Source organism: Homo sapiens, chromosome 7, assembly GCF_000001405.40.
Source record: "Homo sapiens chromosome 7, GRCh38.p14 Primary Assembly".
Taxonomy (NCBI): Eukaryota; Metazoa; Chordata; class Mammalia; order Primates; family Hominidae; genus Homo; species Homo sapiens.
The window spans coordinates 2194902-2221943 of NC_000007.14; the positions used below are offsets into that span (position 1 = coordinate 2194902).

At 55.6% G+C, this 27042-nt stretch overlaps 1 protein-coding gene and 1 long non-coding RNA gene across 6 annotated transcripts in view, besides 4 other annotated features; one reads left to right on the plus strand and one right to left on the minus strand.

Moving 5' to 3' along the window:
* MAD1L1 (mitotic arrest deficient 1 like 1) overlaps window positions 1-27042 on the minus strand; it is a 417151-nt gene that overhangs the window by 379107 nt on the left and 11002 nt on the right. For 4 of the 5 annotated variants that reach the window (NM_001304523.2, NM_001013837.2, NM_001013836.2 and 1 more), the window contains 5 exons: window positions 24431-24555; window positions 23061-23142; window positions 21256-21386; window positions 20984-21098; window positions 18311-18372 (listed from right to left, as the gene is read on the minus strand). In NM_001304523.2, the coding sequence (NP_001291452.1) occupies window positions 18311-18372; window positions 20984-21098; window positions 21256-21386; window positions 23061-23142; window positions 24431-24555 (515 nt within the window). Of the gene's footprint in view, window positions 1-18310; window positions 18373-20983; window positions 21099-21255; window positions 21387-23060; window positions 23143-24430; window positions 24556-25982; window positions 26122-27042 lie in introns of all 5 variants that reach the window. The other variant, NM_001304524.2, reaches the window with a different exon arrangement.
* Window positions 533-827: an enhancer, noted in NCBI's record as "tiled region #12216; K562 Activating DNase matched - State 5:Enh". NCBI's record gives its function as "activates a minimal TATA promoter and a strong SV40 promoter by Sharpr-MPRA in K562 cells {active_cell/tissue: K562}" and the evidence as "EXISTENCE:reporter gene assay evidence [ECO:0000049][PMID:27701403]".
* On the plus strand, window positions 4817-10299 carry LOC105375126 (uncharacterized). The gene is made up of 3 exons (XR_001745062.3): window positions 4817-4892; window positions 9390-9438; window positions 10223-10299. It is a non-coding gene; the product is annotated as an uncharacterized LOC105375126 (long non-coding RNA).
* Window positions 7794-8768: an enhancer, noted in NCBI's record as "H3K4me1 hESC enhancer chr7:2242330-2243304 (GRCh37/hg19 assembly coordinates)". NCBI's record gives its function as "activates a minimal SCP1, AML or CMV promoter by ChIP-STARR-seq in primed H9 embryonic stem cells {active_cell/tissue: H9 hESC(primed)}" and the evidence as "EXISTENCE:reporter gene assay evidence [ECO:0000049][PMID:30033119]".
* Window positions 13847-14380: an enhancer, noted in NCBI's record as "H3K27ac-H3K4me1 hESC enhancer chr7:2248383-2248916 (GRCh37/hg19 assembly coordinates)". NCBI's record gives its function as "activates a minimal SCP1, AML or CMV promoter by ChIP-STARR-seq in naive H9 embryonic stem cells {active_cell/tissue: H9 hESC(naive)}" and the evidence as "EXISTENCE:reporter gene assay evidence [ECO:0000049][PMID:30033119]".
* Window positions 14876-15025: an enhancer, noted in NCBI's record as "active region_25510". NCBI's record gives its function as "activates an Ori minimal core promoter by ATAC-STARR-seq in GM12878 lymphoblastoid cells {active_cell/tissue: GM12878}" and the evidence as "EXISTENCE:reporter gene assay evidence [ECO:0000049][PMID:35858748]".

Sequence of the window (27042 nt, forward strand, 5' to 3'; positions counted from 1 at the left end):
CATCTCTACTAAAAAAACAAATACAATAATACAAAAATTAGCCAGGCGTGCTGATGCGCACCTGTAGTCCCAGCTACTCGGGAGGCTGAGGCAGGAGAATCGCTTGAACCTGGGAGGCTGAGGTTGCAGCAAGCAGAGATCATGCCACTGCACTCCAGCCTGGGCAACACAGCAAGACTCTGTCTCAAAAAAAAAAAAAAAGTATTTGAATCTAAAGCTCAAGCTTAGAAAACTTACAGATAACTTAGCAGTGACCCCTACTGGGTTATCTATGCCACTTCAGCTAAGCTCTCGTAAACAATAAAAACACCTAAACTAAAAGAAATGCTTGTAATAGCTACCAATGACACTCTTTTCAACTCAGTCTACTAAAAATACCTACTTTTCTTATCCGAGTCAATAAAAAGTGAGCTTTGATTTAAAGGAACCTAGTTGATACCTGCATTTTGTAATTGCAATCCTAATAAAAGGCAAAATACTCCTGAGACCTAATTGCAGTAAACGCTAGCAATGCAGGAAAAGTAAAAACTAGAAAGAGCAAATGGGAATACCAAGAATTGTGTGTCAAAATGTCCTCCAAATAGACTCGTAAATAATTCCTATCAGCTCAAAAGCAGACAAACAGCAGTGCTCTGAAAAATTACACGGGGTGGAAGCCTGCCCCTCCCTTGCTGTGGGAGGACTGTTTGATTCCATGAAACTGAAGAGTAGTTTGCACCTGATAAAAAATTAATTGCTAATCTTCTAACTCAGCCACCTCCGCGAACAAGATAGTATTGTGTTGCAGCCTCAGAAGTTAAACGCTTCCTCTCCCAAGTAATTACTGCTCTTACTCTACCTTGCAGAGAGCCTCCTCCCACTGAAAACCAAATCCCAGAACTGCCAGGAGGTGCTTGGCTCCCAGCAAAGGCAGGCAGGTCAGCCCTCCAGCAGGCTGGTAGGTCCTTCTTGCCAAAGTTCGGCTGGGAGCCATCAGGTCTGAAAAAGAAGCTATCAGCTGATGGGCTTCATGCCCGCACATGTGCTGAGTTCCGCTCAGGCTAAATGGATGGCAGCTCCCAACAGAATCCTTTCAGTGCCAGCATCGGGCTGATCAGCTCACAAAAATGCAGGATCCAGCTGCATGGCACCATGTGGCCAGCCAGATGGATGGAGGTTATTGAGGGCACAGCTCACCATACTCCAGGATCAGCCAAGCATTCCGGCAACAGGGCCACAAATTCACTGGATGCCCTTGGGCCAGTCAGCCCCTCCCAGAACCCAGCTTAGTCCACAGGGTTCTGAGGAAGAACGAATGAGACGCTGATTATCAACAGGCTTTGTCAACTACACAGCAGCTCTCCAGAGCCAACCACCACCGTCAACAGTGCCATCCTGCCAGCAAAGTGAAGACCCTCTTGAGAACAGGCTCTGTCTTTAAACAAATAAACTCTAGAAACTCTTGTAAGCCACCTGTTTCCAAACCAGGGAAAACGTCTGGCCTTCATTCCCACCAGCGTCATTCATATCCAACAAGGCCGTCTCCAACTAAGATACTCCCGCAAAACGCTCCTGCGGCATCTTCCAAAAGATTGCATCTGAGGAGGCACCCCTGTTGTTTTCATTGTTTAAAGCTGTCTGTGTGTGTGCACTACGTGGGCAGACTGTGCTGTGCTCGTCACAGCGTCGCCAGAGCCAGCCCAAAGCCTGGCAAACGGCAGGTCTCCAAATAAATGTTCAGATGAACAAACAAACGAGCGTCTCCAAAATCACAGTGCTACCCACAGACACTGTGGTCACAAAGGAACAGGCATTCACCTGAAGAGGAAACAGAAAAACAGGGAGAGTCTGGCCTTCAACACGAACCCTCTTCAGAAGTCAGAAGGCCTCGGGCTCCCTGCTCACAGGAACAGTGCGGCTCAATTCTAACTCTCACTACAACGCGGCTGACTCCACGGCTCCTACTCCATGAGGCTCTCAACTGACAACAGGAAACACCGCCCACCCTCCCCACACTTCGGGGCTGCTGAAACCTGCAGCGGGTCAGACAGCCCCAGGGACTTCCACCAGCAGGGTCCTGCCAAGGCGCCAGGTCCTCGCCCTGCGAATTCAGTGAGGAAAGAGGCCCCTTCACAATTGGCGGATGTGCTCCTCCCTGATGAAGACCTTCTGCGGCTCCTGTGACCTGCAGGACGCGGTCCAAACCACCCTCAGGACAGGACAGATCCCTGCCAACCTGTCCAGCTTCTGCCACATCCCAGGAGAACTGTGGTTAGAACCAGCTGGAGCCACACAACACTGTCCGAACACGCAGCATCTGGCCAACCTGTGTGCTGCCAGCACCCACCCTATCTGGAACATGCTGCCAGCCTCTCAAGTGTCATCTCTTCAGGAGCCACGCTTGACCTAGCAGACATATGCCCGGCTAGATCTGAGAGGACTGGAAAACAGCCCCTGACTTATAGCTGTATCCCCAGCACCCAGCACCAGGCCTGCACACCTATGTGTTCAAGAAGCACTCACCAGTGAAGAAGAGGAAGAAACCCCACTGCTCTGGAGGCTTCTAGCCTCTCCTCACTCCTCCTCTCATCTCCCGCCCCGACCCACGCATCACTCCGCCGACGCCTGGTACACACGACGTGCACTGCACAGCCACCTTCTCCCTGCACACGGGCCCAAGCTCGGACACAGGCACGACCAGGACTGGCGGGCTGCAGAGCTCTCTGACCCGGTGAGGCACTGGCCCTCAGGCTCAAAGCCACCTGCAAACGCCAAAATCCCTCCAGACTCGGGCCAGCTGTCTGCTCCTCTGGCTCTGCCACTCCCCTAGGCCGGCTCATCCCTGCCCCTCACTGGGCAGGCCAGCCCTAGGGCTCCTCTAGGAGCCATGCAGGCCTGACATCGGCTGCTGTCTGACACCTCCTTCTGGCTACATCACTGACACTTCAAACACACATTCCCAAAACAGAGTTCACAACCCCTCCCTGCCTGAGAGCCAAAACTGGTCCTAGCCCCCGGGTCCCAGCCCCCAGGTCCCAGCCCCCAGGCCCCAGCCTGTGACTGACCCCATCTCCCTGCACCCACAGGGCCCATCAGCCCCTCCTCTAAGAGCAGGCCTGGGAACAGGCCCAGGACGGGGCAACCACACCCAGTTCTGCCCCACAAGCGCCCCCGCTCATCCCAAGGTCCACCATGAGTTTGGGTTTTTTTTTTTTTTTTTGGAGGAAGGGTTATCTTTATATTTTTATTTTTAAAAATAGAGATAGGGTCTCACAGTGTTGCCCAGGCTGGTCTTGAACTCCCAGGCTCAAGCGATCCTCCCACTTCAGGCTCCCAAAGTGCTGGGATTACAGGTGTGAGCCAAGGCACCCAGCCCAGCGTGGATTTGTGCCAGGAAGAGCCAGCAGGAGCTGACCAGCCCCATGGAAGCCTCCAGGCCGGCTGCCTGCTCTCATCTCCCAAGAGCCCGCCTTTGCTTCTGCCAGCCACTCACGCTCTCCACAGGCTGCAGCCAGGTACACACCCCCCTTCAAGCAACAAAACCACTGCCTGAGCACCTGGCCTGCTCTAAGCCCAGGGCTGAGACAAGGGGGAGCCAGCCACACACAACACCAGGAGCGCTGGCATCGCCGGAGCAAGGAGCCCGTGATGGCCGTCCACCCGGGACAGCAATCGCGCTCTGCGGCACGAGGCTTTCAACAGAGGCGAGTGCTTCCTGGGGGTCAAGAGCATGGAACACACACTTCAGGCCCCCTCTCCAGGCTGCAGGCCAACAGGCGTCCATGAGACAGACACTCCCTGATGTGTCCCACTCAGTTCTCCTGCCGCTGAGTGACTCTCCCAGGGAGGCCCAGAGCCACATGCTCTTGGTAGCCCCTACTCCTCCAGGTGTTAAAGCAGGTGCCCATGTACAGTCCACAAGCACAGGCCATCAGGCTGGGCAAGGATGGGCAAGGAACCAGGCCCCTGCCCTTTGAGGCTCAGGAGCTCCAAGCTACAGAATAGGGTTCCAAAGCTCCAGCCACTCGGAGGACACACAGGCCACAGGAAGCCGGCGACCAGTCCACAGAGAGACGCGCTGTGGGGCCCGACAGGCTGAGGTCAGGCAGTGGGATCCCCCCTTCACAGTCCTCCCGGCCTTGGGCGGGGCTATCCAGGAGGGGGCTGCCCCTCCCTGCCAGAGTGCACTGGGGCCTGTATGATGCCAGCCTGAGAAAGATGCGCAACTCCAGCTCCACCTGCACGGAGATGCCCCACAGCAGATCCCTGCCAAAATGGCATTTGCAAAGCGAGGAAACTGAGCCCCAGGAAGGCCACAATGATCAAAAACGGTCTCACTGCAACTTCCAGATACATTTTCTAGGCCTCTGGTTTTGGCCTTTTTAAATGTTGGCATATGGACTAAGGAATGGAATACCTAACTGCTCTCCAAGAAAGGAGTTTGTTACTTCTGGGTCACAGATTCCACACGTTCACCTTTCTGGCCTTCATACCTCACGTGTCACAGCCAAGACTCCTAGGAGGTCCCCTGCCTGCCGTCATGAAGGGCGCCTGCAGCCTGGTGCGCCACCCCCACATGCCCTGCACGCGGCAAACCGCTCAATAAGGACTGCAGTGAACACTTTCTTTAAATCATTGATGGTTTTCTTAATCATCTTAGAATCACTCTGCTACACGGATGTCCCTGGAGTTTCGATTCCTAAATCAGCAGTCTTCCACTCCGCATCCGCGCCCCCGCAGTGCCCCGCCTGGCACGGGCAGGGGTGCCTCCCAGACAACGGAAACCAGACGAGGGCCAGGCCAGGCAGACACACCGGGCAGCCACTGAACTGCTGGGCCAAGACCTCCAGCCTCCCAAACCCAGATTCCTGGTCCTAGGAGACGGCTTTCTCAGCTGCAGCCCAGACTCCGCGGTAAGGCCACAACCCAACCCACCACCCACCTAGGTGCTTCCCAACGCCATGCTGGCCAGCAGGGCCCACACTCCGCACCATCCAGGTCAGCTGGACCAGTCCCCAGCTTAGGGCAGACAGTGAAGCCTGGATGAAAGGGATGGGAGAGCCCCCTGCAGTCACTGGTGACAAATCCCCCAGAGTTCCAGGAAGCCACACTCACAAAGGCCCGAGGGCAAGGGAGGGGTAACTGCCCAACACTCTCCATGAAGCCAAGGGTCTCAGAGCTCTTCCCACGCCTGCCCTCCATCCTCCACCCCTCCCGGGGCGCACCCACGACAGGTGGAGGGTGAAGAGCGGGACCAAGGCCTGCCGGCCAGGTGTGCACCACCCTACGCTAACATAGCACGCGGGGCGCCCACCCAACCACCCCACACCCGCCCCGGGCCGCCTGCCACCCTGGAATGCAGGGTGGACACTTGCGTTCACCTGGAACCTCTTCTCCACCTCATCCACATCCTCCTCAGGACTCCCCACCAGACGAAAGTCCCATGGCAACAGCCGGATCTTGTTCTCCACTGGGCCCCCGACACCAGGCACCAGGCCTGCACACAGGGGGTCTAAGGAAGGTTCGCTGGCCTGGCTCGGAGCCCTGCTCCTCAGCACCTGGCTGTGTAACAGAGCCCCAGGGTCCACACACAGCTGCCAGTGAAGGTCTCTGCATTCTGCCCAGGTAAGACACGCACACGGTACTTCCGATCGTGGGAGATCAGAGCTCTCTGCACCTGGATAACAGTGGAAACATCGTCAAACAAAAGCCAGGAAAGTCAGATCACTTAGTCCACATGAGCCGCCCCACAGGCTGGTGCTGACTGGCTTGTGATGAAGTGATCATCTCACAGCACTTCTGTGAACGCAAGCCCGCTCTCCCCACCGCGGCTCTGCACAAACGGTGCTACCACGAGGACCGCCTGCTTCATGCACACGGCCCCCCTGCAGCCACTGAGCGTGCAAAGGCTGGTCCACCCTTCGGCCCAGCCTCCCCTCCCGCCTGTCCAGCAGAATCAGGGCACCTGATTCCAGGTGACCACACCAGTGAGAAGCGTGCAGGAGCTGGGAGGAGCGGGATGCGGGTGCCGAGTGACCGTGGGTTCCAGGAATTCAACAGCTCAGGATCTCCTGTTCCTCCCAAGAACCCAGGCCACGCAGGGTAGGTGGAGGGCGGGAAGGGTGGGTGGTGCAGGCAAGACCAGCAGCTCCTGACACAAATGACAGCTACAGCTGGCTGCAGGGAGTGACCCCAGGTGATCCTGTAGAGGTCACACCTCACAGCCCCAAAGCTGACGTTGAGGAATGTTGGGTGGGGAGCTGTGGAGCCCCGTAGCCTGCCTGAGACCCCAGCTCTCCGAAGGCCATGGCACTGCTGGGAAGTCCTCGGAGAGAAGGGCAGGTAGTGGTGGGCTGCCCAGAGGAGGCCTTCAGCTTCTCTGCCTCTGGCCCTCGGCTGGCGCTGGCTTCAAGCCGCCTGTCAAAATCCCCCTCCTACCAGCCCTGTCACAAAGCTGCCCAGACCCTTCCTCCATTCCACGCCAGGGCACCCCCTGCTCTACCTGTAAAAGTAGGGACGTGGACACCCTGGGAGCCCCTAGCCCACAAGGAGGGGACAGCACGCAACAGGACCCCAGTAAGCACCCATGAGTAAAAACCAGCCCAGATACCACCAGGGATGCCACCGCCTCCTCTAAAATAAATCCTGGAACCTACGGCAGCCGGACTTGTCTAAAGCCTGTCACTCTGGCCTTAGACTTTTTAAAATCAATTTAAAAAGAGACCTATAAGTAGAAGAGCCCTATCTACAAAGCTTGGAGAAAAGCCCCAAAAAGAGCTCCGAGACCAAGTGATAGCGTTTCCACCCGGACACGCCGCAGAGCACTCAGCTGTCTGTGCAGTCAGGCACATGCAGGGGTGGAGCCCAACGGTCTCTTCTGGGAAGCCCTTCTCTCGCCTCTCCCTGCGGGGTCCCAACACCCACAGCACCGCCCCCAGACTCTGACAGTCTCCAGCCTGCCCGACCGTACCTGGAATGAAGCCCAAGGGCGGCGTGAGCCTGTCAGCACTGCTGGGAACGCCCATCCGAAACTTCACAAGGGGGCGGAGAGGGGCACAGGCTGCACCCCAGCCAGGGCCGTCGCCAAAGCGAGGCAGCTGTCAGGAAGCTCTCTGCTGGCCTTGCTTTGGGGGTCTCGCTGGGATAGTGCAGGACCCCAGGGGGGCCCTGTCACAGCAGCCAAGAGCACTGGAGGCTCCGCCCATACATCACCACCAACTGCAAGGCACAGAGACGCCCTCGCTCGGTCCTCCACTCTTCAAAGGCTCAGCACACGCCTACTGCACGTCTGGCTCAGGGGCGCTAAAGGGAGACCCCAGCTCTTAACTCACAATGCTCAGGATTGAGAGGATGCGTTTACGGAAAACCAACACAACCCCAAGGCAGAAAGCGGCCAGGACTCAGCCACAGGAGGAGCTGGGGTTGAGAAGAGGAGAGATGGCAGGCACCGTGCTCGGACGGAGCTGGGAACCTGGCTCACGCCCCACCCTGGCCTGCACCTCTGGAGGGCAGCACACTCGCCACTCTCCAGCTCCAGGGTCCTGGGACCTGCACACCACAGACGCACAGGCCTGAGGGATCCTTCTCCCTCCAGATCATGGGCTCCACAAGAGCAGCTCATGGTGAACGAATGAACAAACGAAAAGGGGAAACGTGGCCCAGACCACGAGGCATCCGGCATGCAGGCCCAGAAGAAGGGCCATGCTCACACAAGTAGCCAGAAGGCCAAACGCTTCTCCCCCTCCTCCTCCCATGCCCCAAAGAAAACCAAACCGGCGCCAATTAAAATGGACCAACATACCTGACAGTCGCCCACCTTCCCAAGCACCACCAGGGCGTCTGGTATTGATCAACTCAACAGCCGGGTAATTACAAATCACGCGCACGGTAACTAGGATAATAAAACTGTCCAGGCTGGTCAATTAGACCCTTCCTTAGAGGAAAATCATGCATCCCCTCACTGTCCTCCTAATTGGCCTCACACATCAGGGAAGCTGGGCCCTGAGACTTGTCATCTGACCAGTCTACAAAAGTTTTTGGGAAAATGTCCAGGTCAGCACTGACAGGTGCCCAGCTTTGACTACAGGGGATGGGTCAGCAGTTCCAGGTGGGCACAGCTGCCAGGACTCTGAGCCAGCAATGCCCGCCTCCCACCTCCCCAGCCCAGCCTCCTCTGCAGCCCCTCCTCACCCCCTCAGGCCTGCCCTTGCTGACGGGTATAATGCCCACCCGCCGGGATGGGAAGCAAGGCCAGATTCAGGCACAACGGGACAGGCAAGGAGCCAAAAACAGCGGCATCTTGGCCACGAGCAAATGATTTCCTCCCTGAAGTGGGGGCTCGGCTACAGGACTTGACACCCACTCCCTTCCTATTTCATAGGGTCCCCCTCAGTGGGAGCTGCTAAATGACAGTTTTGAAAAGCCAAGCCTTTGAAGATGCCTGCTCTCCTCACTGTACTGTGACTTCGAGCTGAATCTCTCTAGAAACGTTGAAAGCACACCACCCCCATTAGGTGACGGCAGTCACACGCCGTGACGGGAGCGCACAGCACTCATGCTTTTCGGGAGGGCGGTGTGGCACCAGCTAGGAGTCTCAAACGCACATCTCTTTTGAACTAAAAATCATCCTTTTAAGAATTTACCCAACCAGCATAGCATGGCTAATTGGGGAAAGAAGCTGGAAACACCCTAAGTGTCCATCAACAGGGGCTGCTGGAGTCTGAGTCCGTCTGCACTCCAGCACACCCTGCAGTTCTTTAAAGTAGTTCAGCAGACCAGCCTGCGCTGGGGCCAAAAAACTGTCAAAAACTGAGTGAAAACAGTTGCAGAATAAAACTGTGGAAGGAGCCCCAATTTTAAAAGGTGATGGGAGTACATAAAGAGCTTCTATGTACACACATTTCCAGAACGACACACAGGAAACTCATCAGGCATTGCCTAGAAAGACGAACCGGGGCCAAGCACAGCACGCCCTGCTGCCCACCTCCGGGGCAATCAGTTCTATTCTGGAACAGCCCCCCAGGAATACTGAGAACACAAGGTGACGATGGCTAGGAAGCTGTGACACAGGGCACCCAGCCCTGAGTGAGGTCACCAGGGAGGGCAGGAAAGGAAGAACACGTTCCACTTTTCATTCCATTCATTTGCATTTATGCAGCTTGTTCTGCTTTTCATCAAATGTGAAACTCCTTGACCCTCTGCAGCCTGCACTGACCCCACATGCTGCCACTCCTCACAGCACTCCTGTGACGTAACAAAGACCCAGGAGGTGCACGCAGCCGTGGCCGTAGGCCTTCCATAAACTCAGGGGATGGGTCCCTCCCCAAATGAAGGCTGGCTTAAACAGCACCCCCAGGCCACTCTCCAATTCAGTCCAAGTCGCCACTAAGGAATTTTCCTTCCCCTCACAGCTAATCCGAAGAGCTGACCGTCTGCTGTTGACAGGCCAGCTTGAGTGAGGTATGATCTGCGCACGTGAACAGTTTGACAAGAGCAGTGTCATGAGCTTTGCTGCGTGTACACCTGTGCGGCGATCACATCCATTACGCCAAAGGGTATTTCTAGCACCCCATAAGACCCCAATCATATCCCAGCACGAGACTCCAGGGATCACTGACCTGCTTTCTATCACTGTTGCTCAGTTTTACCTTTTTAAAAAGTTCAAATCAATGGGATGGTATAGTAAGTATAAACTCAGTAAGTCTGGCTTCCTTCACTCAGCAAGAGAGACCCTTTCATGTTTCCAAGCACCGCCGCTGCCGCGCATTACACTGCGTGGAGACGCCACGGTCCACGTATCCCTTCACCTGCTGACAGGCACCTGAGTTGTTCCTGCTCTCAGACTGTTAGAATAAGGCTCTACAAACATTCCTGTACAAGTCTTCATGAGACCACATTTTCTCTTGGGTTTCTCTTAGATTAAATACCGAGGAATGGAACTGCAGGGTCACACCGTAAGTGTGTACAAAGCTACCAAACCATTTCCAAAGTGGCCGTACCACTTGCTACTCCCAGGGGCAACAGGCCTGGCTGCTCTGCATCTCTGCCAGCAGTCAGGATGGTCAGTCTGCTTAATTTTAGCCATTTTATTGGGTGCCCAGTGGTATCTCACTGCAGTCTTGAAACCGCCTTTACAGAATTTTAAGTAACGAGAGAAATCTACATTACTGACTCCACCTTGCTTCTAACCTCACAGGATCTTTTCTTTTTTTTTTTTTTTTTTTTTTTGCTTATTCTAATACAGAGGCCAAGATAACTATGAGAGGAATGTAGTTTATAGTTAAACTTCAAGGCAAGGAAAAATGACACCCGTCCTTGTTTGGAGATTAAGACTGGCATTGCTACAGGGGCCTGAACTTTGCTAAAGAACAGGCACGGGTAAACCATGACCTGTCACTGCTTACTTAGCTTGCTCTTCTACAGTGCCTGCTACCCGGAGTCACGTAACCAGACGTTGTCAGATTCGGAACTTCCCTAACGGCTCCTACAGACATCACTGCTGTGAAACCTAAAAAACTGGTCTTTGGGATATTTTTCAGATTTAGCATTTCAGCAGATCAAGAGATGCCACCTGGACTTGTGACCCCATCTCCCAGGAACTGACTCAGCTGCACGGAGACAGTCCTGACACCCCTATCATTGCATCCCCAACACAACCAACCAGCATTCACCACTCCCTAGGCCGCTGCCCGCCAAAACACCCTCAAGCCCTCGCCTCCTAATTCTCAGGGAGACAGATGTGAGAGTTATCTCGCGTCCACCTCCCTCGGCTGGCTCTGCAATCATTAAACTCCCTCTCTGCTGCCACACCTGCCGTTCTCAGTGCATTGGCTTTCTGGGCAGCAAGAAGAACCCTGTTGGGCGATTACAGTCTTAATTTGCATTCCCCTAATAACTAACAATGTTGACCATCTTTTCATGTCCTTATTTACCACCTATATATCTTCTCTTGTAAAGTATCTGTTAAAAGCAGGCCGGGTACAGTGGCTCACACCTGTAATCCCAGTGCTTTGGGAGGCCAAGGCAGGCAGATCACCTGAGGTCAGGAGTTTGAGACTAGCCTGGCCAACATGGTGAAACCTGTCTCTATTAAAATACAAAAATTAGCCGGGTGTGGTGGTGCACGCCTGGAACCCCAGCTACTCAGGAGGCTGAGGCTGGAGGATTGCTTGAACCTGGGAGGCGGAGGTTGCAGTGAGCCAAGATCATGCCACTATACTCCAGCCTGGGCGACAGAGCAAGATTCCATCTCCAAAAAAATAAATAAATAATAAAGTATCTGTTAAAAGTCTTTTGACCATTTTTTAAACTATGGTAATCTTACTAATTTGTAAGAGTTCCTTCTCTATCCTGGAGCACATCTTTGGTCAGATACATGTTAATATCTCGCAAATATTTTCCTAGTCTATGGTCTGCCTTTTCACTGTATCTTTTGAGAGCAGAAGTTTTCAATTTTGATGAAGTCTAATTTATCAATTTTTTCATTTATGGTTCATGTTCGTTGTATTGTAAGACCTCTTTGCCAAACCCTAGCTTCCAGATTTTGTGACTTTTACACATAGGTCTATGCGTCATTTGAGTTAAATCTTGTGTCCAGCATGAGACAGGTGTTAAGGCTCATCCTCACCACGAAGAGCCTACTGGTTTACCACCCTCGGTGAAAAGATTCTTTCTCCCACTGAATTATCTGGACACTTTGACAACAATCAACACTGTATTCTTCAATCATTTCTGAACATTCTACTCTGTTCTCCTGATTTACATGTCTATACTTAATACCACAGTGTCTCAATTTATGCAATTTACAACGTGTCTTGAAATTGGCCAGTGTAAGCTGTATAACTTGTTCTTTTTTGAAACTGTTATGGCTATAACAATTTATAGGTACTTTACATTCCCATAGAAATTTTAGAAATTGTCAGCCGGGCACAGTGGCTCATGCCTGTAATCCCAGCACTTTGGGAGGCCAAGGCGGGTGGATCACTTGAGGTCAGGAGTTCAAGACCAGCCTGACCAACATGGCGAAACCCTGTCTCTACAAAAATACAAAAATTAGCCAAGCATGGTGGTCCATGCCTGTAGTCCCAGCTACTGGGGAGGCTGAGGCAGAATTGCTTGAACCCAGGAGGCAAAGGTTGCAGTAAGCCAAGATCGCACCATTGCACTCCAGCCTGGGCGACAGAGTAAGATTCCGTCTCAAAAAAAAAAAAAAAAAAGAAATTTTAGAGATCAGTTCATCAATTTCTGCTGGGGCTTTGATTGGGACTATGTTAAATATTTGGGTCAATTTGAGCAAACTGCCATCTTAACAATAATGAATCTTCCAATACACGACCACAGTACCTTTACGATACTCTGAAATATATATTTGGTCTTTCTGTTCCCTGACATACATGCAGCTCCTTATCTGGAGTGAGAAGAGTGTCTCTTGTGAACTAATGAGCTGAGTGCTGGTTGGCAGCCCCCAGGCAGCTTCAGATAGGGTGGTTATCCGAAACACCAAGGTGAGATTAGAGGGTTGGGACTTTGAGTCCCACCCCTCAACCTCCTAGGAGGGGAGAGGGGCCGAAGGGTGAGTTGATTTCCAACGGCCAATGGTGTAATCAATCATGCCTCTGTGATGAAGCCTCCATAAAAACCCACAAATAAGGCCAGGGTTCAGAGCTGCACACACAGAGGCTCCTGGAGGGTGGTGTGCCCAGAGAGGGCATGGAAGCTCCGCGCCTCTCCTCACACCTCACTCTGCCAACCTGTTCACCTGTATTATTCGTAACATCCTTTATAAGACATGACTAAACATAACAAAGCATCTTCCCGAGTTCTGTGAGCCACACTAGCCAATTAATGAAACCCAAGGAGTGGGTAGCAGGGGCCTCGTTTAACAGCCTGTCAGTCAGAAGTACAGCTGATGTCAGTGAAAGAGGAAGAGAAGAAAACCGTAAAATGAAGCAGAGATGCCGGCCTACTACTTGCACCTGGAATCTGAAGGGGGCACAGATGTGTGGGACTGGGCCCTGACCCATTGGAAGCTGATGGAACTCCAGGTGGAGAGTGTGCAGATGAGGCTGCAGGACATCCAGCTGGTGACCCCTGGAGAACTGCTTGGTGTGGGGGAAACCTTCCAGTATCTGGTGTCAGAGGCTGTGTGAGAGCAGAGGGGAAAAGAGTTCATTTTTCCTCTTACAATGTCTCCATTTTTCTACATCAGGTGATCTTTAATGTCTCAGTTGCGTCTTAAGCTTCTCAGTGTACAAATCTTACACAGATTTTCTTATATGCATTCCTAATATTTCATGGACTTTGATGCCATCATACATGGTATGTACCTCGAGTGGCTCACTGCTAGTATACAGAAACATAACCCATTTTGGTACATTGTCCTTGTATCCCGTGACCCTGTAAACCTCACGGTTTAGTCCTACTGGCTTGTCATTTATTCCCTGGGAATTTCTATAGATAATTATGTTGTCTCCAGGTACAGTTTTACTTCCTCCTTTCCAGTCTGTCCATCTTTTCTTTTTGCTTCCCTAATTATACTGGTGAAGATCTCCAGTACAGTGCAACCAGGGGTGCAGGGAACAGACACCCTGCCTGGTCTCCATGTCAGGGATGCAGTCCGTCCACCTTGTATTATATCAGCTGGTTTTCTGCAGGTATCATTTAGCTGGTTGAGGAAGTTCTCTTCTCTTCCTAGCTTGCTGAGAACTTTAAATCACAAACGAGTCTTGGATTGTTACAAATGGTTGTGCTGTTCGCCTACAGAGATGGCCTGCACCCCCTTTCATTCTACTGAAACAGGTGATTTTCCAAAGAGAAGCAAGCATCCTGCATTCCCAGATGGGCTCCAGCCTCACGCCATCTTTCCCACTGGCCTCTCTGTATTACTCCTCCTCCCCCTCCTGTGCCCGAGGTCTTGCCGAGGATGACACGTACCTCAAAGGGTGTGTGCTGGCCTCCGCTTTCCTCACCCGTAAGTCACTCCCCGAGACAGACCATGCTCCTGGGAGACCAAGCTGATCACATCGCTGCCTCCAGACACACGCCTCGCACTGCTGCTAACTCCCTCAGCCCAACTTCCAGCACCCTAAGGATGAGGGTGTCCACACCACACTCCCGGCACTGGCATCCTGCCCTTCCCCACGTGTGTTCACGCAGGCTCATCCACACGCACTGTGTCCCTCCTTGCCTGTGACTTCAAAGTCGTAGAAACTAACATGCCCCCAGCCTGCGTGAACCCGTGTGCTGCACATGTCACATGTGCCCAGGCCTGTGTGACACATAAGGACCTCGTTCCACAGGGTCTTCCCATGGTTTCACTGACCCACCCCAGCCAGCCTGCCCAGCCTCCTCTCCTAAGACATAAGAAGCCCTACATGGGGAAGAGGGTGACCAGGCCACTCTCTCCTGGGGCTCAGCCAGGGTTTATCCAAGCCCGGGGCGAGGCCGAAGAGCCCTCTGAGGACTGCAGGACGTCAGCACCCTGTCCTTAGGGAAGGGCCCACACAAAGGACGTCTGACCTCAACGCCAGGAGCTCACAGCCCAGAGCCCACAGGCCTGAGGGCCCCAGGACACTGGTCAGAAACAAGGCAGGCATGGGACAGCCAGAAGCGCCCCCCTGAAGGCAGTCAGGAACAGTGGCCACAAGCCCCTCACATCCCCATCGACCAAAACCCCAGTGTCAGCAAGCAAGTCCCATGGTGGGAGAGCAGCGGTCCACTAGGCCAGAGAGACCCAAGGGAAGCTGCTGTGGGAAGGATCACCAAGGCGGGGGCACCACCTAGTGGCAGCAGCTCCTCCACACCCACGGGGCCTCGGGCCTCGGCAAGCCCCAAATCCCAGCAAAGCCTGGGCCCGAAGGCAAGCAGACGCCAGCCCACCCGGCACAGGCCCAGGGCACTCCCAGCCACAGAGCCCTCTGCTTCCAGGACATCTGATGTCACCTCAGGTCCCCACGGCTGAGAGGAGGGGATCCCCAAGCTCGCCCACAGAGGCACGCATGTCTCCACACAAGAACAGCAAATGCACTCAGCCCTCCCATGGGGGCCCCCGTGGCCCCAGCTTCTCACCACATCTGTGTCCCTGTCGCCGACTTCACCACCACATTCAATGCTGCCAGACACGGGAAATTCCTAAGAACTACCCCAAACCTGGTCCCTAAAAACAGAAAAGAAAGCCCAGTGCATCTCAGGTTTACCCAGAAATCCACTTTGGTTTTTGTTTTTGTTTTTTAGAGACAGGGACTCACTCAGTCACTGGAGTGCAGTGGTGCAATCACAGCTCCTCCTGGGCTCAGGTGATCCTCCCACCTTAGCCTCCTGAGTAGCTGGGACTACAGGTGCACACCACTGAGCACCGCTAATTTTTGTTTTGGTACACACGGGGTCTCAACTGCGTTCCCCAGGCTGATCTCAAACATCTAGGCTCGAGCAATCCCCCTGCGGCAGCCTCCCAAACCACTGGGACTACAGGTGTGAGCCACTGTGCGCAGCCAGAAATGCACACGTTTACCAAACCCTCCCGGTGATTCTAGGAGCCGTATTCGGGACCGCCAGCCCGCATTCCCGTGGACTCTCTAGGAGCCGTATTCGGGACCGCCAGCCCGCATTCCCGTGGACTCTCTAGGAGCCGTATTCGGGACCGCCAGCCCGCATTCCCGTGGACTCTCTAGGAGCCGTATTCGGGACCGCCAGCCCGCATTCCCGTGGACTGCGGCATGAGCACCACCCCACTGACGTCCAGCGTGAGTCACCCGAGATCACGGCCTGATGCAGAACCACACTCAGACACCCGCCCTGTGGAGCACAACACAAGGAGCAGCGGGGAGCCCTGAAGGGGCCCAGGCATGGCAGGCAACCCAGCACGTGAGGAAACCTGCCCTCTACCAGGCCCACAGCCAAGGCCAACGCAGGAGACTAGGGGTCGACCCCCACAGCGAGGACGGCTCCATCCACCTTCCTGGCCATCAGCCTCCGGCTGCTCAGAGAGGACGCTCGCACCAGCCCCTCTCCAACTCACAGGGCCCTCCACAAGTACACGATCACGTCGGATCTTCACACGCAGTTGGGGAGAAGAGCTCCGTGTCCCCCTTTCAATAAAGAGAACACTGGCCCAGAGCAGCGCAGTGACTTGACACAGGTCTTACTGTTGGTGGCGGGGGGCAGGGGGAGCCTTGAATCCAGCCTCCGAAGAACTATCTGTGTTCCTCATCAAAGCTGCAGGGCGCCACACATGCATGCCACTTGCTTCCCGCCCACTTTAAGCTGGTGGTGGGCACAGGCAGCCCACCTCCACCAGCCCTACAGACCAACCCCTCCTCTCCCTCATCCAGGGCCTGGCCACCAGGGAGGGCAGAGTGAACACAGAAGACACAGGCAGGCAGAACCCCTGGGGCCAGCATGCCCTCATGCTGGCCACGCCCAGGCAGCACCCCCAGGCCAGCTCGCCCTCACACAAGCCATGCCCAGGCAGGGCGCTCAGATGCGGGAACAGGGCTGAAAGGATCCACAGTACTTTGAAACCAGCCAGAGACAGCAGCCAGCTGTGCCAGGTCTCGTGCCCGACTGACACCCAGTGCTCCAGGGCAAACTGCACACTGGACCCTCCAGCAGGGCCGGGCCCATCAGGCACGTGGGGGCCTCTGATGTCCCTTCACAGGAAAGAAGTCACAGAGGTTTCTCATCTGGCCAGAGTATGCCTGGGAGCAGAAGGGTCGCCTTCCAAGCAATTAATAAGCCCAGAGAACAGACAGAAGCACAAAGCATTTAGGCCCCGCTGAGGCCGGCCCTACAGAAGTCTGTGTTCTACAGGGGGAGTTCAAGAGGAGACAGCAGCCCGGGCCGTGCTCTGACTTAGCAAAGCTCAAAGAAAATGAAGAGGCACTTTCAGGTGACAGAGAACTGAAGCCAGTAATGCTGATGAGAAGGTAATGGATTCCAGAACCAGCAGTCGGACGGTGTGGTCAAAGGATAGCTCTTTCAGAGAGTCTCAGTCTCAGCCTAGTTTCCAAGAACAGCAGGAAAGACAGGCAAGAAGCGGGAAGCCTTGAAATCTCACAAGCAAACACAATAAGAGGCCGCCTCGGCACCAGCACCTCGGGCCCTGAGCCCCGGGCTCTGATGGCTCCTTCAAAAGCATCGCTCCTGCACCTCCTCGAGACCTGGCGCACACAGGGCAACCAGGAAGAGGGGTCCAGACCAGAGCTGCCAGGAGGTGGTCACCTGCAGGGGCACCGCGACTGAAGGGCAGGGGCCAACTGAGCGGCTGCTGGAGAAAGATGAGCACAGGGTCCTGGGAAGGATGGGGCAGGAGGACAGACAGGACCAGACCTGGGAACGGTCCAGCTACCTGTCTATAAGAATACCATCCCCAGCACCCAGGGTGGTCCCCCGGCAGCTCCACCCCACATCCCACCACCCAAGCGCTGGCACTCAGCTTGGCACAGACTGCGTGAAGAGGCTGCTACAAGCACCAGACAATCGTCTTCCACTATGGTGGGTGAGAACCGTTTGGATCTGTGTCCCTGCCCCATGCCTCATGTTGAATTGTAATCCCCAGTGCTGAAAGTGGGGCCCCGTGGGAAGTGTTTGGATCCTCGAGTGGATCCCTCACAGCTTGGGTCTGTCTTCATGATAGTGAGTTCTCATGAGATCTGGTCATTTAGAAGTGTGTGGCACCTCCCTCCCAACACTACTCACGCTCGCTCACTCTCTCGCTCTCTCATTCCTGTTTTTGCATTGCGGCGTGCCTGTTCCCCCTTCACCTTCCGCCATGACTGAAAGCTCCCTGCGGCTTCACCAGAAGCCGAGCAGATGCCAGCACCATGCTTCCTGTACAGCTGCAGAAGCGTGAGCCAATTCCACCTCTTCTCTTCATAATTACCCAGTCTCTGGTATTTCTTTATAGCAATGCAAGAACAGCCTAATACAGTGGGTTTTTCTTAATTCTAAAAACTCAGTTCATCTCCACTGGTTACAGTTCCCTAAAATGAATGATTTCCCCCAAAAGCAATTATTTCCTCGGTATACACCAAAAAGAGTCCTTTCACAAAGCCCCGCAACGCAGGGCAATCAGACGCCTGCCACTGGTTTGCTGTGGATATTCCGCTTCTGAATGAAGATGTTACTAAGGCTTCAGCAGGATGAGTCACTGGGTTCCACTGCCCCATCCGCTGGGAAAGGCCTCATTAAACCTGAGCAGCCCAGGACAAATGCCCCGCACCAGCCACAGAGATGCCTGGCTGGAGACTGCGCTGGTGAGCCGGAAGCAGGCTCTGCTCTTCACCCAGGACCCTTCAAAGAAGGCGGGACCCCGGAGACACCTGCCCTTCCCTACCTGATGCTCAGGCCCATGGTCTGGTCCAGTCTCTCCCAGCTTTGCAGCTTGGCCAGCAGCCTCTGAAAAGACAACAAAAGCACAGACCCTGTCATCACCTGCCACAGGATCATCACATAAGACTGACAATCATGATCACGGTGCTAAGTCCCTGACCTCTCAGGAGAGCCTGCCCTCATCTCTGAGCTGGGCGCTACATGCTCCAAGTCTGCTTGGAAGTGGCCGGGTTATTATTCCCCAACTGCAGAAGCCACACTGGCGCTTCCTGCCTCACTCCTTCCTGGCCCCGTAAATTCAAGTGTGAATCCCAGCAAGCTAAAAGCAACGTGTGGCTGTGGAGGGAGAAGGCAGACAGCCTCAGAAAGGATCCTGGGGTTGACTGTGCCCCAGGGAGCAGCCTCGGGTCCTTGAGCCGTTAGGACTCATCCCTCCCCCATCTTCCAGGGGCTCCTCAGGGAACCAAGCCCTGGAGCAGACAGACTCAGTCCTGGAGCCAAACTTCCTGCCATCACACAGCAGACCAGGACCAGCAGGCCCTAGGAGAGGAGGGCAGCCACCCTGGAGCATGAGGGAGGGTGAGACACTGCCTACAGGCCAGCCCACCCCTCTGTGTCACATGCCTGTCCCATGCTGAGCCGCATCCCAAAGAGGTGAGTCTCACGGCCCTTCTAGGACGGAAGCAATCTGAGGGCAGGGACTCTGTGCCTTTGTTCTGGCCTCGCTTCACCTCCACCCAGTGCCAAGCACCATGCTGTTATCAACGCTCCACTCGGCAAGTCAGTGAGGTATTCTCACAGCCCCTCCTATGCGCAGGCACGCACTTGACTAGTAACTATATGACAGCCAACGCTACAGAACATTCGCTACGCGCCAGGCACTGCTCTGAGCACTTTGCATAGACTCATGTGAGCCTCACAGTCCTGACAAGGCAGCCAGCACCACTCCTCCCTGTGCAGACGGGGAGACAGACAGGGAGATGAAGGAGCTGGCCCAGGGACATGGAGCAGCAAGCACCCAACTACGGAATGTGGCTTGAGAGCCCCAACTCTTCAACCATCAAACAATAAATTACACCGCGGGAGAGAGAAAAGATGTCGCATGGGAGCTGTCTTTTCAGGCTAAGCTCCTACAGAACCCAGCACCTGAGAGAAGAGTCCCTGCCAGATACCCCCGCTGACAGGGAGCCACCTCACCGTGGGTCACAGGGCCAAGGCCCCAAAACGACCTTGGCTGTATCACAGCTCTGAAGAGGACAGAGACGCCACGCCACCCAAGGGGACTCTGGAAGTGGCCAGCTGGACAGCTGGGCAGCTGCAGAGCACTGCAGATGGAGTCTGCCCTCCTGCCAGGCCCCACAACCACCGGAGAAAGGCGGCATAGGTGTGCCAGGCACAGAGGGGAGTGGCTGTGGCCACAGGGAAGTGGCATGAAGGACAGAGGACCCAGGCAGGGGCCAGAAGGCCTAAATTCTGGTCCAAACTTGCTGTGCACCGGGCAAGAGAGGGAGCTTCTCTGAACCTCAGTTTCCTCCTCTGCCCGCAACATGACTGCAGGATGTTTTCCAGCACTGACACCTTCCTACCAACTGCCGCGGTGAAGACAGAACACCCCCAGCACAGGGCCCTGCCAGCCCTGATCCTCACAGTGCCACACGCATTCTGACTCACCCTCTGTACCAGTTTCCTGCTGCAACCGAAACAGATCACCACAAACTAAGTGGCTTCAAACAACACAAATTGGTGCGGCACAGAGGCTCACGCCTGTCATCTCAGCACTTTGGGAGGCAAAGGCGGGAGGGTCACTTGAGCCCAGGAGTTCAGGACCAGCCTAGGCAACACAGGGAGACCCCATCTCTACAAAAAAAAATTTAACATTTAAAAAGCCTGGCCGGGCATGGTGGCTCACGTCTATAATCCCAGCACTTTGGGAGGCTGAGGAGGGTGGATCACGAGTTCCAAGAGATCAAGACCATCCTAGCCAACGTGGTGAAACCCTATCTCTACTAAAAATACAAAAATTAGCCGGGTGTGGTGGCGCACGCCTGTAGTCCCAGCTACTCAGGAGGCTGAGGCAGGAGACTCGCTTGTACCCGGGAGGCGGAGGTTGCAGTGAGCCGAGATCGCACCATTGCATTCCAGCCTGGGGACAGGGCGAGACTCCATCTCAAAAAAAAAAAAAAAAAAAGCCCACAAATGTAATATTTTATAGTACTTTAGATCGGAAATCCAAAACGGGTCTCCCCGAGCTGGAATCCTGGTGTTGGCAGGGTTGTGTTCCTTCTGCAGATTCCAGGGGACAGTCCACTTCCCTGCTCTTTCCAGCTTCCAGATGACCCACATTCCTTGGCTTGTGGCCCGTCCTCCATCTCCACACCCAGCAAGAGCTGCCAAGTCCCTCTCACATCACTCTGAGCCCCCAGGATGGCCCAGGAGCCCCTCCCCGCCGTGGGCCAGCTGACCAGTCACCTCATTCGCCCTGCCAGGGAAGGTGCTGTGTTCACAGGCTCTGAGGATGAGGCATGGACCTCTCTGGGGACCACGATTCTGCCTCCCACCCCATCACAGCAACCTCCATGTTGTAGGTGAGCAGCTGGTGGGCGTGACCACAATACCGAGGCTCCTCCAGGCAGGGCAGAGGACACCCACAGGAACCGCACACCACACAGGCCCTCACCTCGTTCTCCAGCTCCAAGCCAACCAGCGTCTCCTGCATCTTCTCCTGGCGCCCCAGCTTCCTCTGCAGCCCTTCCAGCTCTTCCTGGAGCAGCCCGTTGGTCTCTCTCATCTCCCTGGCAGTGCCACAAAGAGTCGCTCAAATAGCCACACACCCTAGGGATAAGGCCAAGAGCCCGGGAGCCCTGCCCCTACAGGGTCTGCACAGTGGGCTCCATGTGCACAAACCCAGACTCACTCGAGGCGGCTGCCCCATCCCCCGCAACCCCTCACCGCAGGTGCGCGCTCTCCTCCCGCAGCTGCTTCAGCTCCCGTTCCAGCCTAGGGAGCCGTACCAGCTCAGACTTCATGTTCTTCACAATCGCTGCATCCTGCTCTTGCAGGGACAGCTTCTGCTCCAGATCCTGATGGAGGCCAGGGACAGAGAAGAAGGGAAAAATGAGCCACGAAGAGACCTGGAGAAAATCACACGCACACGGCTAAGAGAAGGAAGCCGGTCTGCAACGGCTATACACACTGCAGGATCCAACCACAGGACGTTCTGGGAAAGGAAGGGGTTGTCAAGGGCTCAGAAGGAGAGAGGCAGGGATTGACTGGGGGAGCAGAGAGGATTTTTAGGCAGTAAAACTTTTCTGTGTGACACTCTAATGGCAAATATAGAACATTTTACATCTGCCCGAACCATACACTGTCCCACTCCAAGAGTGACCCTCGCATGACCCGTGGACTCTGCGTGACACTGATGTGTCCAGGCAGGTTCATCACCGTCACACGTGCTCCACTCTACCAGGGTAGGCTGTGTGTGTAGGAGCGGGCGCAGGGGGTACACAGGAGCTTTACCTTCTGCTCATTTTGCTGTGAACCTAAAATTGCTCTAGAAAATACCATCCATTAAAAATTAAAGTCATTGAGGTCACAAAGTTCCTTCGCTAAACTGCCCCAGGTCCTCAGCAGCCTCCATGCCTCAGGACTCTCCTGTGGGAGGCCTTCCTGGGCTGCACCAGGGGCCTCGAAGCTGCTTCCAATACTGAGCCTCAGCATCCACTCCAGGGCAGCTCTTCCCAGCGCCGACCTCCCAGCCCTCCGCGTACTGGGAGCTGGCATTCACACTGCACACTGCCGGGCTGCTGTGCTCACCACCTGCCCTCGGGGAGCTCTCCAGGAGCAAAAGTCTGTCTCAAGTCTGGTCCAGGATGGCACTCCATGGTAAAACATCCCACCCCTCCCGTGTCAAGCCCACTTCTGCCACTCTAGCAGCACGTGTGACAGCTCAGTCTTTCCAATAGTGAGGACAGGCTTTTCCCTACGGTACCCAGTCCCCTTGGGACACAGACAGCTGGCATCTGTGAGCAGCAAGTCACTGAACAGGCAGAGTATGAAACCACGACCAAACCAGACGGTCATTCAACAAACACTAACAGAGTCCATCGCCCTGCCAGCCAGAAAATCCTGAGAGGTGGACTGAGGGCTGCGAGGGGCCAGGGACCACCACCAGGAGCGGACATGGCAGAGGCCAGGCTGGGGGTGCCGGGCAGCTCTGCAGCCAGGAAGAGCTGGTGTGAAGCCTGGAGGTGAGGGTGCATAAGGGCTGAGAGGGCACGGCCAGAGCACAGGGTCTGGAGGCTGCTCTCCAGGCAACAGGAGGCAGGAGAGGGATCTGGAGTCAACGTCTCCCTGGCACGTCCTCCGCAGGGAAATGGCACAGCCTGAGCTTGAGTCAGATGCCCTGACTGAGACCCAGCTCCAGCTGTGCAACTGTGGGCAGCTTTCTCAACCTCTCTATGCCTGTAGCATCTTCTCACGCTCATCAGCACTTGACGTCATCACACACACGGACATTTTCTCTTGGTGTTTGTGGTCAGTCTCCCTCCTCTAGAATACACGCTCCCAAGAGCGGAAGCATCTGCCTCATTCACCATGGCATCCCTGGTGCCCAGCACAGTGCCCAACACACAGGGCAGCAGCTAACCTCACAGAAGGACCACGGAGCTCGGCACCAGCGCAGAAAGGCCGACAGGGGCAGGAGAGTCAAGGCCACCACAGGGATGTCCACAAGGCACTGACAGGGAGTGACTCACCTTAATCTGCTGCTCGTGGTCTGCTCTTGCTTCTTGGCTGGCCTGGAGTTCCTGGATTTTCTGATTGGCTTCCTGGCATTTTCTATTGAAAGAAAAATACATCACACACAGAAACAGGCATGCGGCAAGGCCAACAATTCTCCTCAGCCTGAGACCCGCCCCAGCACAGACCCACATACGTTCATTCCCACCCCAAGGTTCAGGACCTCCCACGGCACAGACCCCCCGCCCCCCGCCAACACACACTCCACTGCATGGGTACCCCAAGGTCCCAGGCCCCAGCCCCTGTGGGCTGGCTCTCAGGCCTCAGTCTGCTCATTCAGACGGGGTGCGTAGTGAGCCCAGGCCACCTGCAAGGACCTCTCCAACAGTGGAACCCACAGCTCTCACCTGCCTGCGGCAACCCCCAGCCCTGGTGCAGCTGCGGTAGGGCCCCACCCAGGAATGACCTCTCCTCTCTACTACGGAACTAGAACTCTCCTAAAACCACATCTGCTGATGGAAGGGTCCAAGTCTGCAGGAGATGCCCACAGTCTCCTGACTGCACCTCCAGACAAGGCTCTCACGTCTGTGCCTCGGCTCAGCCCTGTGCCTGGACATCCCTTCCCAGCCACGCCCCCTCCACCTCCAAGGCACATGATGCTGCCCTTTCAACCTAGCCCTCAGCAGGGTACGGCGGCTCAGCCTGGGATCCCAGCACTCTAGGAGGCTGAGGCAGGAGGATCGCTTGAGGCCAGGAGCTCAAGACCAGCCTGGGTTACAAAGCGAGACCGCCATCTCTACAAAACGTTTTTTAAAATTAGCCAGGTGCAAAACTAATCCCAGCTACTCAGGAGGCCGAGGCAGGAGAATCACTGAACCCAGGAGGCGGAGGCTGCAGTGAGCCGAGATGGTGCCACTGCACTCCAGCCTGGGTGACACAGCGAGACTCAATCTCAAAAAAAAAAAAATTAGCCAGGTGTACTGCACATGCTTGCAGACCCAGTTACTCGGGAGGCTAAGGCAGGAGGATCACTTGAGCCCAGGAGGTTGAGGCTACAGTGAGCCATGATTACACCATTGCACTCCAGGCTGGACGACAGAGTGAGACCCTGTCTCAAAAAATAAAGTAAAATCTGGCTCTGCAGGAGCCCTCTCTAAGAAGGAGGGGGAGGAAGTTGCTGCCCCCATTCTGCTCCAGGAACATCAGGACACTTTCTGGGCTCACGGTCCTGGCTCCAGAGGCCTCAGCATCTGCCCCTCTTGAGTGTCTGTGAATTAGGACAGCATCTGGGAGTGTATCCACATCCCACCCAGCCACCAGGAGAGAGGTGGGACGCATGCCCCCACACGTGACCCGACCCCCGACCCCACACCCTGGCCCCGCCCACTTGTGTTGCAGGTCCAGCTGCTCCTGCAGCTCCTGCTTCTCCGACTCCAGGCGCTTCACCCGCATCTCCTGGTCCATCACGCTCCACTGCAGTTCCGAGATCCTCCCCTTCAGTGCGTTGATGGTCTAAAAGTAGAGGGGACCAGAGAGCCGCTCAGTGAGTGGAGCCCGTGCGTGGAAGGAGCCTGCACATGGAGATGAGAAGAGTGGAGAGGCGACACCACCCACGTGCTATAATCAGGGCAGGAGGCAGAGGGGCAGAGGAATAAGGGGGCAGAGGGGCATCGGGCAGAGGGGTAGGGGGGCAGAGCGGTAGGGGGGCAGATGGCAAGGGGGCAAGGGGGGCAGAGGGCAGGGGGAAGAGGAGCAGGGGAGCAGAGGGCCAGGGGGCAGAGCCACCTCCTTCTGGAGGATGCAGGTCAGGCAGACGCTCACACGCAGGGCCCACCCTCCTCCTGGTGCTCCAGAGCAGCACAGCCCAGAGCCTGCCACAAGCCACCCAGGAGCTGACAGAGGAGACCGGGCCCCAGCCAGGGGCCCTGGAAAGGAGGCTTGGTGAGGCGGCTTCAGAAGCAAAAGCCTCCACCAGCCAAGATGGGCCCGGACTCTCAGGCCTGGCACCTGGCAGTCTCTGTGCCAGTGCCCCACGCTCCCAAAGTCCCATCAGACATCCACATACCCGCCACACCATCACTTCGGTCTTCCCTCCAACCGTGGCTCCTGTCATCCCTCCCTAGCCACCCCAATGCTACCATGACGGCTGTTTGCTAGCGACATCGCCCTCACACCACAGCAAGGCACTGGCCAACCAACAGGACAAAGACGGAGGCTGTGCAAGGGGCAGGGCGGTACCTGCTGGGGAGGCCGTGCGCTTGGAACGGGAGCACGCGGCACGGGCAGGAGCGCCCCTGGGGAGGCGGCCCCTGAGCAAAGCCAGCAGCCCCTCTGGCAGCCTCCAGGACAGCAGGTCTGCCTGACATCATGGAACCCGCACGCGACAGAACCGCCAGGCTTCCTCCTGACCACTCCCACCAGGCGACCTTCTGAGGACCCTAACCCTCTGGAAAAGCTCAGAAAACCCCAGGTGTCCTCAGAGAAAGAAAGAGCACGTGGGTCGAGCCAATGTGAAAAGCCGGACAGACCCTGAGAAGCATCACTGTAAGTTAACACACGGAAACACACGGGCGTGATGTCAGCCCTGGGGACCACGCACCCAGGACAGGACAATGGCAAACTCACACAGCAAACGACCTGGGTGGGCCTGGCTGGGCGGCACCCTCCGCAAACAAGGAGGCCTCAGCACTCATTTCCCTGTCCCTGAGAACGTGCCCAGCTTAGGGCCTGCTGAAGCCTATCACCGCTGTCCACCCCACGCCGCTCTGGGAAGGCCCGCATGGGGGCTGCGTGCTCCCCACATGCCCACAATATGTACGGTTTACTTCACCACAACAGTGAAGCATCAACCTGGGAGTCAACAAAGAAGAAAGGTATTAAAAACATACTAACAATAAACACATCCTCCCAGAGGTCTTCCGAACTCAATTAATACGCACCGTGTGCCAGGGGCAAGGCCAGATGCAGGGCCGAGCCCACCTGCCCACAGGGTCACCCGTGTTGTAGGGGACGCCGGACAGTTGGCAAGGAAGAGGCGCATAAGATAATTCCAGAGTAAGGAGCGTGACAATCAGGACCCTGTGACAGGAGAAGGCAGTCAAGGCCTAGTGCGCAGGGAGGGCTTCCCTGAGGAGCGGCCACCTCGGCTTAGACATGACAGGCCAAAGCAGCAGCACCTGCAGCGCCACCATCTTCCCCTCACTATGCCCCACCCCACCGGGCACCGCCCTGCGGCTCCTGCAGTCTCCTGCTCCTCTGCCCCTCATGAAGTGCTCGGCACGACTCACCCTCCCCCATGGAACCACAGGTGCCCGCAGGCAGCGGGGACAGCCCCCGGCCCAACTCCAGTACAGCCCAGCACATGGGAACTGGAACCCAGAGCATGGGCAAGGCAAGAGCAGCTTCTCGGGAGCCAATCACGCCTCCTCTCCTGCCAACGTTCCCTCCAGAAGCAGATAGGGGAACAGCCTGAACACGCCTCCCCAGCACGGCCACAGGAAGGACCCGCGGCCAGTTTCTGGACCCCTCCAGGACCCCCGCTGCACGCCCACCCCACCCCTACCACGCCTCCACCCCCACACCAGCAGATTTTCATGTTTCCTCTTGGCACCAGCGATCTTGATCGCCACAGACAAAGGACAGGAGAGGTCAGAAGATTCCAATTTCCACCAGTGCCCATGTCTGGGCTGTTTCTAAAATGCAAGCAACCTTCACCAGGACTGCAGTTCACACAGGCTCCAGTTCAGAGGCAATTATCCGACGCCATCAGATGCCTGTAGACCTTGCAGACAGTCAAAGATATGCAAATCCAGACGTGCCTCCTTAAGCCTCCTGACAAAACAACAGCTATTTCCAGAAAAGACCACCATCCACGACAGGGAAGGCTACGGGGAAATTGGAGCCCTCAGCCAGGCCTCTGAGCACAACGGCTGCAGAGACCGCCATCGCTAGGGACCTTATAACCCAGTCCTAGGGGTCTGTCCAAAGTCAACAGAAGCG